At 36.9% G+C, this 18,458-nt stretch overlaps 1 protein-coding gene across 20 annotated transcripts in view; it reads right to left on the reverse strand.

Moving 5' to 3' along the window:
• TASP1 (taspase 1) overlaps nt 1–18,458 on the reverse strand; it is a 534,161-nt gene that overhangs the window by 355,198 nt on the left and 160,505 nt on the right. The window lies entirely within an intron of this gene.

An 18,458-nucleotide genomic window follows, 5' to 3' on the forward strand; every position in this document is an offset into this window, starting at 1 on the left:
ATAGACAAGAAAAAAACACTTTCCTCTCCAGCTACCACCCCATTATCTTCTTCAAGAAAGGAAAAATTCCTTCAAAGATGTGTCTGTACTCACTGTTTCCTATTTATCTCCTCAGTCTCTTCCCTTACCCACTCACACTGGGATTTGTATCCCCTCCACTTCATCCAAACCTACTGTGAAAGGTCATCTATCACCACCACAGGGTGCTAGTCAGTGATCAGTTCCCCAGTCCTCCTCTTACTGCTCATCGGAAGAGTCTGACCTGCTGATCGTGCTTTGCTGCTTTCTAGCACTTACTTCACTTGACTTTCAGGACTTCACAAACTCCTGGATTTTCTCCAGAAGCACCAGCCACTCCTCCTCAATCTCATTGCTGGTTCCTCTTTATCTCTTTACTTTACCTTTGGAATGTTCCAGAGCTCTTCAAGGTCTTCTTTTATCTGCATCGATTTTCCTGATCTCATATCATGTATCACTTTAAAATATCATCTGCACACCATTGATTCTCAAATTTATTTTAGCTCAGGCCTTATCCCTGAACTTGACACTTATATATGCAATTGCCTAATTAACATTTCCACTTGTTCATTTTATAAGCATCTTTTGAAACTGCTGATCTTTCCCCACAAGACTTATTCTTCCTGGAGGCTTTCCTAGATCAGTAAACAGAAACCTCATTTCTCTTCTTTGCCCAGGCCCAAAATCCTCAAGTCATCGTGACTCTTCTCTTTATCTTTCACCCTATATTAATTAATTAGCAAATCCTGTTAGCTTTACCTTCAAAAACTATCCGGAATCCAATCACTTTCCCATCTACCTCCATTACCCTGGTCCAAGCCACTACTATCTCTTAACTGAATTAGCCTAATAGCCTCCTATCTAGTCCGTCAGGTTCTACTCTTGCCTCCCAAAATCTATTGTCAGCACCCAAGCCAGAATGGCTTCAATAAAATGTAATTCAGGCCAATTTATCTTCTCAAAACTCTTCAAGGCTCCCATCTTATGATGGCTTGCAAGGCCTTGCATGGCCCTTACTACTTCTTCCAGCTCATCCGTAACCATCCTTCCCCTTGCTCACACTGCTCCAGCCACACAGGCCTCCCTGCCATCCCTCAGCCAACTCTAGACACATTGCTAACTCCTTTGCACATGCTGTTCCCTCTGTCTGGTACGTTCTTCCCTCCACTGGCCACATGGCTCTCTCCATCACCTTTGGATTTCTGCTCAAATGTCACCTTCTAAGGGAAACTTACCCTGACCATGCTCAAAAACTGCAAGCTTCTCTCCTGCATTTTCTATCCACCTTTTGTACTTCATTTTTCTCTGTAGCTTTTATTACCATATGATAGACTAAGTTTTACCTATTTATTTATTGTCTGCCTGACTTGATAAAATGTAACTTCCATAACAATATAGACTTTGTTTTATTATTCACTGTTGTATTTCTAGTGCCTGGCCTGAAACATAGTGTATGCACGAATCCTTATTGAATAATAAGAAAATATATGTTTTGGAGCCACCCCGATGGAAGGGCTCTCCAGGATTATCTAGGCCAGGAATTGGCAAGCTTTTTCCATAAAGGGCCAGGCAGTAAAATTTTCAGCTTTGTAGGCAATATGGTCTATGTCACAACTACTCAACTCTGCCATTGTAGCACGAAAGCAGTTATGGACTGTATGTAAACAAGTGAGTGTAGCTATGTTTTAATAAAATTTTGTTTACAAAATCAGTTGGTAGGTGGGATTGAACCTGCAGGCCATAGTTTGCCAACCCCCAGTGTAGGTTATTTCACTACATGAGCATTAAAGCCTTAATCACCAATTCTCCCAGAGTTTATTAAACAAAGTTCCCAACTTCCAGAGCTAGGAAGAGTCGTCCAGATCAAGGATCATCTAGTCCAACCCCTGAGGCAGACAGCAGATGTTTATACAAGATTCATTCTTTCCATCGAAAAGAAGCCCCATTTTGTGGAGGAGACAATCATGTGTCCAGCTAAGAAATTGTTTCTCAGTGTCTCTGTAACTAGAGGGGATGATGGGACACAGTTCTAGCCAATAAGACACAAGGAGGCAGGACCATCAGAGACATTGTGGAGCTGGCACATAGGACCTCTGGACATCTTATTATGAGAAAAAAAATAAATCTCTCTGGTTAATCCATGATATGTGGCTTCCAAAGAGAGGTTTTTAAAGAGTGAAATTAAGTCTTTGATTAAGCCACATAAGTAGCTTTTAAAGAGAGAAATGAATCACTCAAGATTTTAAAAGCCACTGCACTTGTACATTTCATTATCCTGTAGTCATATGCAGCTATTTAGCATTTGAAATGTGGCTAGTACAACTGAGAAACTGAACTTCTAATTGTATTTAATTTTAGTTAATTTAAATTTAAATAGCCAGATGTGACTAATGACTGCTATATGGGACAGCATGGCTTTTGACTGTTAAAGAAAAGCGAAGTATAATAAGGCATGCACATTGATTTTGATAGTAGTTTGAAGGGCATGAACCCTTTTTTCCTAAGCATGGTAAAAAGGAATAGCTGCCTTTCCCACATATCTGCCAAGTTCTTGCCCCACACCCAGCAGTGACCAGTATTTTTGGTTTAAAGATTTTCCAGGCATCACAAGAGATGTTGAGCTTATACATTCCTGTTCTCAAAACTTTAAATTGAATTTCTACATACTAACAGTGAACAATCTGAAATGGAAATTAATGCATGCTTGTTCTTAAAACTTTGAACTCGATTTCTATATACTAATAATGAACAAGTTGAAAAGGAAATTAAGGGGAAAAATCCATTTACAATAGCATTAAAAAGAATAAAATACTTGTAAATAAACTTAACCAAAAAGGCAAAACACTTGTACACTGAAAACTATAAAATATTTTTAAAAATAAATTAAAGGTACAAAAAATGGAAAGGCATCTTGTGTTTATGGAGTACAATTAATATTGTTAAGATGTCAATACTACCCAGAATGATCTACAGATTTAATGCCATCTCTATCAAATTCCCAGTGGCAATTTTGGCAGAAATAAAAACACCCATCCAAAAATTTACATGGAATCTCAGGAGACCCCAAATAACCAAAACTATCCTAAAAAAGAACAAAATTGGAGGCTTCACACTTCCTGATTTCAAAACTTAGTATGATGCCACAGTAACCAAAAGAGTATGGTAATGGCATAAAGACAGACATATAGATCGATGGAATAGAATAGAGAGCCCAGAAATAAACACTCATATGTGTTTAATGATTTTTCAAGACGGGTGTCAAGACCATTCGATGGGGAAAGGATAGTCTTTTTCGATAATGATGCTAGGAAAAGTGGATATCCACATGCAAAGGAATTAAGTTGGACCCTTGCTTTACAACATATGCAAAAATAAACTCATAATGAATCAAAGATCTAAATGTAAGAGTAAAAACTATAAAACTCCTATAAGAAAACACAGGGGGCAAGCTTCATGACATTGGATTTGGCAATGACTTTTTGTATATGACACCAAAAGCACAGGCAACAAATAAAAAAACAGGCAAATTAGATCACATCAAAATTAAAATTAAAAAGTTATTCTGTGCATCAAAGGACATGATCTATGGAATAACAGAAAATATCTGTAAATCACATATCTAATAAGAGGTTAATATCCAGAATATACAAAGAACTTTTACAACTCAATAACAAATCAAAGAACTAATCAAAAAGTGGGCAAAGGACTTCATACACATCTTCTCCAAAGATATACAAATGGCCAATAAGCACATGAAAAGATGCTTAATGTCACTAATTAATAACAAAAAGCAAACCAAAACCACAAAGAGATACCAACACATACCCATTAGGATGGCTACTATCAAAAAAAGAAAAAACCCAGAAAATAACAAGTATTGGTGAGGATGTAAAGAAATGGGAAGGCACTGTTGGGAATATAAAATGTGCAGCTGCTAAGGAAAACAGTATAGCAGTTCCTCAAAAAACCAAAACCAGAATTACCATACAATCCAGGAATTCCATTTCTGGATATTTACCCAAAAGAACTGAAAGCAAATCTCAAAGAGATATTTGTACACCCATATTAATTGCAGCATTATTCACAACAGCCAAAGGTGTTATTCACAACGGCCACAGGCTAAATTGTATCTCCTGCTCCCCAAATGCATATTTTGAAGTCCTAATCCCCAGTATCTCAGAATATAGCTGTATTGGAGACAGAGTCTTTAAAGGCTTAATTAAGGTTAAATGAGGTCATTAGGATGGGCTCTAATCCAACATGGCTTGTGTCATTACAAGAGGAAATTAGGACACAGAAAACTCACAGAGGAAAGACCATGAGAAGACTCTGGGATAAGATGGTCATCTACAAGCCAAGGAGAAAGAGATCTCATTAGCAACCAATCATGCTGACATCTTGAACTTGGACTTCTAGCCTCCTTAACTGTGAGGAAATAAATTTCTGTTGTTTGAGCCACCCAGTCTATGGTACTTTGTTATGGTAGCCCCAGCACACTAATATAAGGAACAACCCAAATGTCCATTGACAGATGAATGGATAAACAAAATGTAGTATATACATGCAATAAGATATTTAGAAATAAAAAGGAATGAAATTCTGACACATGCTACAACTTGGATGAACCTTAAGGACATTATTCTAAGTGAAATAAGCCAGTTGCAAAAGGTCAAATACTACATGATTCCACTTACAAGAGGTACCCAGAGTAGCCAAATTCATTAGGATAAAAAGTAGAATGATAGTTGCCAGGAGCTGCAGAGAGGAGGGAAAGGGGAGTTGTTTAATGGATACAGAAGTTCAGTTTTACAACATGAAAAGAGTCTGAAGATTGGCTGCACAAGAATGTGAAGATGCTTAACCCTACAGAACTGTACACTTATGGTTAAAGCAAGGCACTCACAGTGACTCATGCCTGTAATCCCAACACTTGGGAAAGCCGAGACAGGAAGATTGCTTGAGGCCAGGAATTCAAGACCAGCCGGGGCAATATAGAGAGATTCCATCTCTAAAAAATAAATAATAAATAAAAAAGTAGCCAGGCATGGCTGCTCATGCCTGTAGTCCAAGTTACTTGGGAGGCTGGGGTGGGAGGATCGCTTAAGCCCAGGAGGTCAAAGCTGTAGTGAGCCATGATGGTGCCACTGCATTCCAGCCTAGGTGACAGAGCAAGACCCCCTTTCTCTCTCCCAAAAAAAAAAAAAAAAAAAAAGGAAAGGAAAAAAAAAGGTTAAAATGGTAAATTTCATGCCATGTGTATTTTACCACAATTTTTTTAAAAAGCAGATGACTAGGAACAAAAACAGTATCATTACAGATCTATCAGAATAGTTAAATAAGAAATAGTGACAAACCTAGCAAAGATGTGGAGAAACTGAATCACTCGTACCTTGCTACTGGGAATATGACTCCGGAAAACAACTCTGTGGTTCCTTAAACACCCAAAGACCCAGCAAACATACTTTTGGGCATTTATTGTCAAGAAATGAAAACTCATGCGAACACAAAAATCTGTACACTAGCACTCACAGTAATTAATTTATTTATAATACTGAAAATAAATTTATTTATAATACTAAAAAAATAGAAACAACCCAGATGTACTTCAGTGAGTAAAAGGTTCAACAAATTATGGTGTGTCCACACCAGGGAATACCACTCAGTAATAAAAAGAAATGAACTACTGATACACACCAAAACATGGATGAATCTCCACGGAATTTTGCTGAGTATAAAGAGACAATCCTAAAAGGTCACATACTGAATGATTCCATCTATATAACATTTTTGAAATGACAAAATTATAGAGACAGGAGACTATTGGTTGCCAGGGATTAAAGTCAGGGTGGGTGGGTGGGTGAGTGATAGTCAGGTGATGTGGTTATAAAGGGGGAACGTGAGGGATTCTTGTGATGATTAAGGGGTTCTGTATCATGACTTGTGGTGAATACATGAACTCACACATGATAAAACTGCATAGAACTAAATACACATACACACATGCACACACACAAACTACAAGTAAAGCTGGGGAAACTGAGTAACATTGGCAAGTTGTATCAATATCATATAGCCTAGTTGTGACATTCTATTATAATTCTGCAAGACATTAACATTAGGAGAAACTGGGTAACTGGTATATAGATTTCTCCATATTATTTCTTCCAACTGCATGTGAATCTACAGTTAAGTCAAAATTAAAAGTTTAATTAAAAAAAAACCTTCAAATTGGAAACCTGCACTGAATATTCTTCAGGTTAATATAAGGAAGAAAAATAAGCTAATAAAGTATATATTAAAAACTCACAAAAACGTGTGAAATCTTATTTTGAGCAGCTATATCACAAAATAAGACTTGCACGCCTTTATTTTGACATTGATGACAGCAAACATGCAAAGAATCAGTAAACTTCAGTTTTGATCACCTTACATAAATCCAGTTATGTAAGTCCTCTTTAAAATCAAAAAGCCACCTCTGGCTGGGCGTGGTGGCTTGTGCCTGTAATCCCAGCACTTTGGGAGGCCAAGGCAGGAAGATCACAAGGTCACGAGTTCAAGACCAGGATAGCCAACACAGTGAAACCCCGTCACCACTAAAAATACATTAGCCAGGCGTGGTGGCATGCGCCTGTAATCCCAGCCACAGGGGAGGCTGAGGCAGGAGAACTGCTTGAACTCTAGAGGTGGAAGTTGCACTGAGCTAAGATGGTACCACTGCACTCCAGCCTGGGCGACAAAGCAAGACTCCATCTTAAAAGATAGTAATAATAATAATAAAGCCACTTCCTTATTCTTCATCAGAGACTGAAATCAGGACATCATACTACTAAAATGTGGACATGACTATCTCATGAGGAACAGCAGTGGCAGCTCACATGTGTACAGAATTTTCTCAGTTTTTATAAACCTAATCTCATTGTATCAATGGTAACTTTGTGAGGTAGGCAAAGCAGACTTGTCTGTGCTTTTTTAAGCCACAAAAATGACTTCAAAAGAAAACTAAAAAATGTTCAACAAACATTGATACTACTTTTTCAAGTCAATTTTCCTATGGCTTTTTAAGGTTTCAAATCATCAGGGAAGCTGAAAAAGTAATACAATGAAGATTTATATATGCTTCACCTAGATTCTCATATTAACATTTTGCTACATTTGAGTTCTTTCATAGATATAGAGATGGAAATTAACACACATACAATACACACACACACACACACACACACACACACGACACACAAATACTTTTTTTTCCTAAGGCACTCGCAAGTAACTGTCAAATATTGCAACCCTTCATCCTAAATGAAGACATCACCTGAACAAGGACATTCTCCTACCTAAACCACTATAATATTATCATGCCTAAGACTACAAATAGTAATTCAAACTACCATCTATTAAAATTTCTTCAACCATCTTTAAAATGTCTTCCTAAAAAAAAAAAAAAAGCTAATTACTCCCAAATTATTTTGTTTAAAGTGTCATTGCTTCATAATTATTTGACCAAAGGAGCTAATTTTTACCTATAGCACTAGTTGTCAGTCAATTGGTACTTTGGTTGGATTCTTTAAATATTGGCTTCTATATTGATAACATAGTCATTTGTTTTGCGTATTTGTCTCTAAATATTACAGAATATAAGAAGTTCTTTGGAACATTGTACATATTTTACAAGAAAAAGAAGGGAAGGAAGACAAACAGGATTATACCTGACCTTTTAAAAAAAGGTGCCCTAAAAACACATACACACGGCCAGGTGCAGTGGCTCATGACTGTAATCCTAGTACTTTGGGAGACCAAGATGGGTAGATCAACTGAGGTCAGGAGTTCGAGACCAGTCTGGCCAACATGGTGAAACTTCATGTCTACTAAAAATACAAAGTTAGCCAGGCATGGTGGTGGGCACCTGTAATCCCAGCTACTCCAGAGGCTGAGGCAGGAGAATCGCTTGAACCCAGGAGGCGGAGGGTTCAGTGAGGCGAGGTTGCACCATTGCATTCCAGCCTGAGCAACAAAAGTAAAACTCCATCTCAAAAAAACAAAAACAAAAACAAAAACAAAAACAAAAAACAAAAAACAAAACCACATACACACATTTACAGCAAACACACTGAAAATTTTCCTAACAAATACAATTACAGAATTCCTAATCACAAATTCAAATAAAGCCTGCTACTTGATTTTAAGTGGTTTAAATGACTAGAAATCTTGCTACTTAAAACAAACAAAGATACTCTGAGCTTACCCAATTTGAAACTAAAAATCAACTCAGAAGTGTGGTAAAATACCAGAAAATCACCAATGTCATTATGCCTCAGATAGACTATTTGAGAAGTATGCCACATAAGCTGCTCCCTGTTGATGCTAATGAATGGACTGGATTTTACACATTCATAAAATGTTAAGAATAACATTGTTTAATACACTTCATTCTTCTCTCAAGAATGTGTGGTTTTCACAGGCTCAAAAGTCATAGTTATTTTCAAATATCTGGTAGGTTTTAAAAAGTGAGATTATAATGAGGGGAAGCAACTTCACAACTATAAAAATCATCCTAAATTATGTTATGAGCATTATAATAATTATGGATTTATTTATTCATCTAATCCACCAAATGCAGCTTAGGCCCTATTCAGACTAATTAGTCAATATACTGTGCAACTCAACCTTCAGTGTCATATGATTTAATTTCCCTTTGCTTCTTGCAACATTATAATTATGTGCTTTGAGTTTACCGTAACTAATATTAGTGGTTTTCCCCACATGCTCACAAACTAAAGGAAGAGACAAAAAGCTTTTTGATCACCTAATAAGTACCCTTAGGAGAAAAAAAATTTGCTAATATGGAGACAAGAATTTTTGGTTTTTTTATGTGTGTGTGTTTTTTTTTTTTGCATGAGATGAAACAAATTCCTTGTATGATTTTAATTACATCCTAATACTTCATAAACATCTTTTAAAACTCAATAAAATACCAATTGTGAATAGTTCAGCAGCTCCCAATGATGGGATGGCACTAACCTTTATAATCAAGTCCATGGTCCCCCAAACTGGCCACTTTTTAAAATCAAATAAATCAGTAGCAAAACAATAGCTCTTTTTAACGTAACGCAAGATTGTTTACAGAGTTTGGGAGTTTGGTTTTTTGTTTTGCCTTTGTTAGTACTATGCTTATTATTTGCTTTCCAACCAAAAAATATTACCAAATTATTTCCAGTTATCAAAATTTAGTAGCTATTTTAAATGGCTTTTTGGTTTGGTTCCCCAAAGGCCTGGGTGAAGAACACATCTGTGGTAGATACAATCATCTCTGCTACTTAAAAAGCTCCAAATGTACAAAATGTATGAAACTTCCAGGCTCTAGAAGGCTTTCTTGCAAACAGGAAACCTCAGCCACAGGGAGAAAACCAACTTCCATTTTGAGAGCCCAAAATCCAAGAAGTTATTCTCTTGCTGCCAGCTACCCATTTCCACTGATTCCAGTAAGTCCATCTTATTAGTCTGCTGCTGATCAATACTGTTAGTAATTTAATGCAGTAATAAAATTTTTTTCTTTTTCCTATTTGTAAGAAGAAAGGAAGAAGAGAAAAATAATTGAACTTCCCACACACACTGACTCAGTATCATCCCAAGATAAAAATGCATCCACCATGTCAAAGAAGGTTAACTTCTGGGTTCTTTGGAAATTGTGATGGTTGTTTCTCAGAATCAACATGTACTGAAAAAATCAAATTTAGTGTTAACTCAATATAACATACAGACGAACTATTTATTTTCAAATGACAGTTGTCCAGGTCAATAAATGTCCTTTTTTTTTTTTTTTTTTTTTTTTTTTTTTTTTTGAGAGAGTGTCTTGCTCTGTTGCCCAGGCTAGAATGCAGTGGCATGATCTTGGCTCACTGCAACCTCTGCTTCCTGGGTTCAAGCTGTTCTCCTGCCTCAGCCTCCCGAGTAGCAGGAACTATAGGCACCTGACACCATGCCTGGCTAATTCTTGTATTTTTAGTAGAGACGGGGTTTTCCCATGTTGGCCAGGCTGGTCTCGAACTCCTGACCTCAAATGATCTGCCTGCTTTGGTTTCTAAATGTGATTTTTAATCATCCATTGTATCCAAGGGAAAAAAGTCTCAAATGTCTATTACCTTCAATAATGCCATTGAGTATTATCTCTCTAATCACTCTTCCTATTCTTCAACCTCCTGACATTCTGATACAAGCTACAAGCTTTCTGCGTCTTGTTTTAAATGAATTATTTCTTAAGCCTCAATTTAAAAAGGGGTAGAGGGGGGCACTCTGAGAGGTATTTCAGAGCTCACCATAACAACACCCCAGAAAGGGGCAAGCAAAAGGCATTCAATTCTACCATGAGCTTCCTAATGAATATTCTTGAAGGCTCTTATAAAACCGCATTCATTTTCTAAGTGACTGATATCCTTATAGAAATTTCCCATCTTTTCTTTTTCCTTTTATTCCCAATCCACCTACCCACTTAAATGCATTCTATACATTTTATAAAACTTCTATACACTTAAAAATGTTCTGGAATTATACATATGTATCTTATGTCACAAGGAAAGAAAAATGATTTATTTTGCAACTTTGTGACCCTCTGTAAGATGTACTCTAGTTAAACAAAAAAGAAGATAAAAATGCAAGGTATACATTTGTGTACTAACTTGTACACATTTTAGAAGCAAAGTTGATGGATATCAGTCACCTATTGACAAGATGATTTGGAGTCTAAACCATCTAACTTGTCCCCTTCTTCATCATTTCTGATCCTCTCTCTCTCCCAGCCGCTCAACAGAGTTCTTTTCTCACCCTGCCACTACACAAACTTCAGAGTTGACTTGTACCCTCTTAATGCCTAACCCCAAAAGCTTTTTCTGCATATTTATTTACAACTGTAAATACATTGCAATCCTTTCAGTTATGAAACAAGATCCCTTCTATCTCTGGCTTCCAAATCACAAGTGTCCTTTTCTCTTCCCTCATTCTTTCTCTCTTTTCTATCCCCTTCAAAGGATACTCTTTTTCTAGCAATGGGGTTAAAAATAATAGTCAGAATCTCTGCTCTCCTAGAGTTTATGCCCTGCTTAAGGGAGACAAACAATAATAACAAGTAAATACAGAATAAATCAAGAAGGGTTAAATAGAAACATAAACCAGAGTAGGAGGGCAGGAAAAGGAGTAAAATTTTAGGTAGGGTGGACAGGGAAAGCTTCTTTGAGAAAATGACATGTGAGCAGATCTGGCCTTTTAGCTGAATCCTGCATATGGAAGTACCATAAATCATGGAAGACAACCCCAAGGTCTCAACTCCCCTCTCAAAGTCTAGTCCCACATACGGCTACTGACTATCATGTCTACAAATACCTCTATACCAACATGGTCAAAACCAATGCCATTCTCTCTACATGTCCAATGTTTCAAATATGACATTCCTATAATTTCTTATTGGCATGTAATTCCATGTCCTTCAGAATCTAAACTCCAGCTATTCAAATGCCTCTTTCCCCACATCTGTCACATTTTATCAGCTATAAAGCCCCAGAGATTCTCTTTGAGAGTCTTTAGTACATGACCCTCCTTTCTATCCAATCTAGTTCTATTTCTCTAATTGCCACTGCCTACAAATTAGTACCTCATCTCCAAGGTCTCCTTCCTCCAATCCATCCCACATCTTAGAATAAAACTGTATTTACTGAGTATAGCTCCGTTCCAAGATGGCCAAACAGGAACAGCTCTGGTATGCAGCTCCCAGCGTGATCTATGCAAAGACGGATGATTTCTGCATTTCCAACTGAGGAACCTGGTTCATCTCATTGGGACTACTCAGAAAGTGGGTGCAGACCACGGAGGGAGAGCCAAAGCAGGGTGCGGCATCGCCTCATCCAGGAAGCGCAAGGGGTCAGAGGATTTCCCTTTCCTAGCCAAGGGAAGCCATGACAGATGCCATCTCCATCAAGCTACCAATGACTTTCTTCACAGATTTGGAAAAGACTATTTTAAAGTTCATATGGAACCAAAAAAGAGCCTGCATTGCCAAGACAATCCTAAGCAAAAAGAACAAAGCTGGAGGCATCACACTACCTGACTTCAAACTATACTACAGTAACCAAAACAGCATGGTACTGGTGCCAAAACAGATATACCGACCAACGGAACAGAACAGGGGACTCAGAAATAACACCATGCATCTACAACCATCTCATCTTTGACAAACCTGACAAAAACAAGAAATGGGGAAAGGATTCCCTATTTAATAAACGGTGCTGGGAAAACTGGCTAGCCTTATGTAGAAAGCTGAAACTGGATCCCCTCTTTACACCTTATACAAAAATTAATTTGAGATGGATTAAAGACTTAAATGTTAGACCTGAAACCATAAAAACCCTAGAAGAAAACCTAGGCAATACCATTCAGGACATAGGCGTGGGCAAAGACTTCATGACTAAAACACCAAAAGCAATCGCAACAAAAGCCAAAATTGACAAATGGGATCTAATTCGACTAAAGAGCTTCTGCACAGCAAAAGAAACTACCATCAGAGTGAACAGGCAACCTACAGAATGGGAGAAAATTTTTGCAATCTATCCATCTAACAAAGGGCTAATATCCAGAATCTACAAAGAACTTAAACAAATTTACAAGAAAAAATCAAACAACCCCATCAAAAAGTGGGCAAAGAATATGAACAGACAGTTTTCAAAAGAAGACGTTTATGCAGCCAGCAGACACATGAAAAAATGCTCATCATCACTGCTCATCAGAGAAATACAAATCAAAACCACAATGAGATACCATCTCACACCAGTTAGAACAGCGATCATTAAAAAGTCAGGAAACAACAGTTGTTGGAGAGGATGTGGAGAAATAGGAACGCTTTTACACTGTTGGTGGGAGTGTAAATTAGTTCAACCATTGTGGAAGACAGTGTGGCGATTCCTCAAGGATCTAGAACTAGAAAGACCATTTGACCCAGCCATCCCATTACTGGGTATATAAACCAAAGGATTATAGAAACATGCTACTATAAAGACACATGCACACATACGTTTATTTCAGAACTATTCACAATAGCAAAGATTTGGAACCAACCCAAACATCCATCAATGATAGACTGGATTAAGAAAATGTGGCACATATACACCATGGAATACTATGCAGCCATAAAAAAGGATGAGTTCATGTCCTTTGTAGTGACATGGATGAAGCTGGAAACCATCATTCTCAGCAAACTATTGCAAGGACAAAAAACCAAACACCGCATGTTCTCACTCATAGGTGGGAACTGAACAATGAGAACACATGGACACAGGAAGTGGAACATCACACACCGGGGCCTGTTGTGGGGTGGGGGGATGGGGGAGGGATAGCATTAGGAGAAATACCTCATGTAAATGACGAGTTAATGGGTGCAGCAAACCAACATGGCACATGTATACATATGTAACAAACCTGCACATTGTGCACATGTACCCTAGAACTTAAAGTATAATAATAATAATATATCTTAAAAAAACTCTATTGCCAAAAGCCTTATGTGGCTGTCCACTACATTAAGAAAAATTGCTTGTTTGTTTGTTTGTTTTTCCAGTTGTAATTATACCATTCTCTTGACTATATTCTGTCTACCTCTTAAATTAGATAACTTGCTGATCATAAAACAAACCCCAAGATTTTCCCTCCTGAAGACACTTCATTCATGACTCTTTCCTTAATCTACCAGATATGACACCTTCCTCTGCTTCTTTTGAACTCTTCAGCCCTTTCCTACTTCACCACATTAAGAGTTTAACTATGGGCCAGGCATGGTGGCTCACAACTGTAATCCCAGCATTTTGGGAGGTAAAAGCAGGAGGATTACTGGAGCCCAGGAGTTCAAGATCAGCCTGGGCAACATAGTGAGACCCTGTCTCCATAGAAAAATTAAAAATTTAGCTGGATGTGGTGGTAAGTGCCTGTAATCCTAGCTACTTAGGAGGCTGAGGCGCAAGGACCGCTAGAGCCCAGGGGGGTTGTAAGTTACAGGGAGCTATGATCGTGCTACTGCACTCCAGCCTGCATGACAGAGGGAGACTCAGTCTTGAAAAGAAATAAAAATAAAAAAGGATTTTAACTGTTAAGGTTTTGATATTTTTATTTCAATAGTTTTGGGGTTTGGAATGGTTTTGGGTTTCAATGGTTTTGAGTTACATGAATACATTCTTTAAGTGGTTATTTCTGATATTTTAGTGAACCTGTCACCTGAGCGGTATATACTGTGCCCAATATGTAGTCTTTTATCCCTCACTCCCCTCCCAATCTTCTCCTATGAGTCCTCAAAGTCCATTATATCACTCTTATGCCTTTGTGTCCTCACAGCTTAACTCCCACTTATAAGTGAGAACATATGATATTTGGTTTTCTATTCTTGAGTGACTTCACTTAGAATAATGGCCTCCAGCCCCATCCAAGTTTCTGTAAAAGACATTATTTCATTCCTTTTTATGGTTGAATAGTATTCCATGGTGTGTATATACCATATTTTCTTTATCCACTCGTTAGTCAATGGGTACTAAGGTTGGTTCCATATGTTTGCAATTATAAATTGTGCTCCTATAAACTTGTATGTGCATGTGTCTTTTTCTTATAATGACTTCATTTCCTTTGGGTAGCTACTCAGTAGTGGGACTGCTGGATCAAATGGTAGATCTATTTTTAGATCTTTAAGGAATCTTCATACTGTTTTCCATAATGATTGCACAAATTCACATTTCTACCAGCAGTGTAAAAGTGTTCTCTTTACATTACATCCATGCCAACATTTATTGTTTTTTGACTTTTAAATTATGGTCATTCTTGTAGGCATAGGGTGGTAACTCACTGTGGTTTTAATTTGCATTTCCCTAATGATTAGTGATATTGAGCATTTTTTTCATGTTTGTTGGCAGTATATCTTCTTTGGAGAAATGTCTACTCATGTTCTTGGTCTACTTTTTGATAGGATTTTTTTTTCTTGATTTGTTTGAAAAAGAATATATGTAACACATAATTTGTCAAACACATAAATAGAACAAACATCCATTAATTCACTAAACAACTTGGAAAAGTAATCCCTACCAACATTGTTGAGACTTCCCAAATCCTCCCTTCCAGAGAAAACTACTACCCTGAATTACTTCTTAATAACTTCTTTCTCTCCTTTATAGTTTTAATATATATGTATGTATAATTAATGTTTGATTTTGCTAAGATATCTTAATGGTGGCATACTGACTGCATTCCTTTGCAAACTGCATTTTCTAACTTAAGTATCATGATTTTAAGGTTCATTCATGCTGATGGGTACAGTTGCAAGGCATCCATTTTTACTGCCATATGGTATTCTGTTGGTGGACATTACAGTTCTTTCCATCATTTAAAATAAGTGCTATAGATATTCTTGTGCATGTCATCTGGTACATACATAGAAATACAGGACCAGAGTTTCTGGGTTTTGGGCAGGCACATGTTCCACTTTTCATGAAAATTGAAATGAATGAATATTTTTCCAAAATGATTGTCCCTATTTAAAAACATCAATATTTAAAACACACATTTCATATTTTCTATCTAGTAATTCTAATATCTAAAGTCTTTGGTAGGCCAGGCATGGTGGCTCATGCCTGTAATCCCAGCACTTTGGGAGGCCGAGGTTGGGGGATCACCTGAGGTCAGGAGTTTGAGACCAGCCTGGCCAACATGGTGAAACCCCATCTCTACCAAAAATATAAAAAATTAGCTGGGCATGGTGGCGGATGCTTGTAATCTCAGCTACTTGGGAGGCTGAGGCAGGAGAATCACTTGAACCCTGGAGGCGGAGACTGCAGTGTGCTGAGATCATGCCATTGCACTCCAGCCTGGGTGACAGAGCAAGACTCCATCTCAAAAACAAAACAAAACAAAAAAAACTATATTGACTAACACGGTGAAACCCCGTCTCTACTAAAAATACAAAAAATTAGCTGGGCAAGGTGGCAGACACTTGTAATCCCAGCTACTTGGGAGGCTGAGGGAGGAGAATCACTTGAATCCAGGAGGCGGAGACTGCAGTGTGCCGAGATCACGCCACTGTACTCCAGCCTGGGCAACAGGAGTGAAACTCCATCTCAAATAAATAAATAAACAAACAAACAAATAAATAAAGTCTTTGGTAGTCTGGTTAAAGTTTCTGTTGACCTACATGCTCTCTCTCATGGTAACTCTCTTTTACGTGTTTTACTTTATTTTATCCTTCTATTTTAGATTCATATATGAGATTTCTTTGAGATCTGAGCTGACAGTGTACTCCTTCAGAAAGGATCTTCACTTATTTCTCCCAAACTCCTGGGAGTTTCATACATCTAGGACTACCTTACACAAAAATTTTCATCCATTCATTTGAAAGTGTGATTTTTGCCTTTTTAAATATTTTGTCTAGCATTTTTAGATTATTTGTAGTCAGAAGATTCCAGGATCTCCATTTCACAAAATTGCCCAGAATGCAAGTTCCTATATTTCCTGAACTTTAGTACAGTGCTTATTCACCTTATATTTTATTTACTGTGCATTTGTTTTTTTCTTTTCCGCTGGAATGCAAGTTTTTTTGATAGCAAGGCTGTTTTATTTATCTGTGAATCTCTCATAGTAACCAGCAAAGTATCTTGTATATGCATAGCTGTCAATGAATAATTGTTAAATAAAAAGATAAATAAAATTCTGAAAATATAAAGCCTAGAGCCCAAGAATTAGTGGCAAATATTGCCCAAAGAGATACGCTTAATTTATATTTTCCTTATTTTGCAGTTTGGACATGTGAGTATAACCAGCTAAATATCACAGCATTTATAACAGTGAAGGAGAAACATCTTTGATTTTTCTAATAGACAAAAAAGAATACATTTTCTTAGGAATCCCTCAAGCTCCAGATGGCTACAAAGAAAAAAGATTTTAGTGTTTGAAAAAGAGAAATATGCTTATCAAATATGAAGCAAAGTCTTATAAAAACACAATGCCCTGGAAAAGAGAACATTATATTTTTTAAATATTCTAAATCATTAAGAAATTCATGAAATGATGATCACAGAGGCTAAATGTGTAATTACAGGGTACTTTTGTTCTTCCTATGACAGCTACTGTTCACATAAAATATTAATTGAATATAACTTCTCTATTTGGCAGAAAAGCATAAGAGGGGACTCCATCTCAATTGTCGACAGCACTCTACAATTGACAGTGATCCTCTAATGTCAATGACAGTGTAAGAACATCTCCCCAAAAGAATGAAGTAAAATATAGAGCAAAAATCACTTTTTAAAATCGTAATACTATATTCCACATGGAATTTTCCAACAATAGTCACAAAGATTGTAGGTTTATAAGACTAGTAGCTTAGTTCAGAAATTCAAAGAAAAAAAAGAAGTCATTTTCACAGATAACATTTTATCAATCATTATATTTAGTAATAAACAGAAACCAACTAAAAAAAAATGTACCATGATATTAGTCGTTAAGTACTGAGCAGGAATCTATAATGCTGCCCCACAGTTCACATACCACACATACAGCCAAGGTTTGCATCAAAAAGAATAATTCACAAAACCAAGTTGGTTTAAAAATAACCATGAAGAGGAAAAGTCACATCTGAATCACTGAAAGAGGTTTTATATGTGTATATGTGTGTAATCTTTTAAAAAGAACAACTAAAAAGGAAACTACTTATTTCTTCCCCCACTTAACTAAGCATTCAGTCTATAATCAGCTGGTTAGCATGAAGTATTATTAAGGCACTATTTTTACAGTACCCATTTTTATGAGTTTTGTATGTTACATGAAGAGTGGTTTTCAAAGAAATGTGCAGACTGGTTATTCTCTTTTATGCTTCCAATATTAAGTCAAACCAAAGCCCTGATCTTGGCATAAGGTAATGCAAGTGGAAACAAAAACATTTCAATCTCTGAAATGCCTTTCAATTTTCCTCCATTTGGTCTATCACATTAAAGTCTTGTTTATCAAAAATAGATTTAAACAAACCCTACACTTAAGATGGTGGCGGAGTTTTTTCAAATTGCAGTAAGAGAAAAAAATCTTTATTTTAGTAAGTTACTAGCTACTTTAGGAAAAATACATAAAAACAAATTATTAGACCCATAAGCAATAATGGTTGAGCCTAGTTATAATGATTTAAAATTCACAGTCTGGAACCGCAATTATTTTTGCACCAACCTAATAGGTGTCCACTCAAGGAAAATCATTACACAAAAAACTGCACTCGTATGTGTACCACAGCACTATTCACAATAGCAAAGACATGGAATCAACTGAAGTGTCCATCAACAGATGACTAAAGAAAATATGATACACACACACACACACACACACACACACGAATACTATTCAGCCACAAAAAAGAATGAAATCATGTCTTCTGAAGCAACATG

Source organism: Homo sapiens, chromosome 20 (assembly GCF_000001405.40).
Source record: "Homo sapiens chromosome 20, GRCh38.p14 Primary Assembly".
In the NCBI taxonomy this organism is placed as follows: Eukaryota; Metazoa; Chordata; class Mammalia; order Primates; family Hominidae; genus Homo; species Homo sapiens.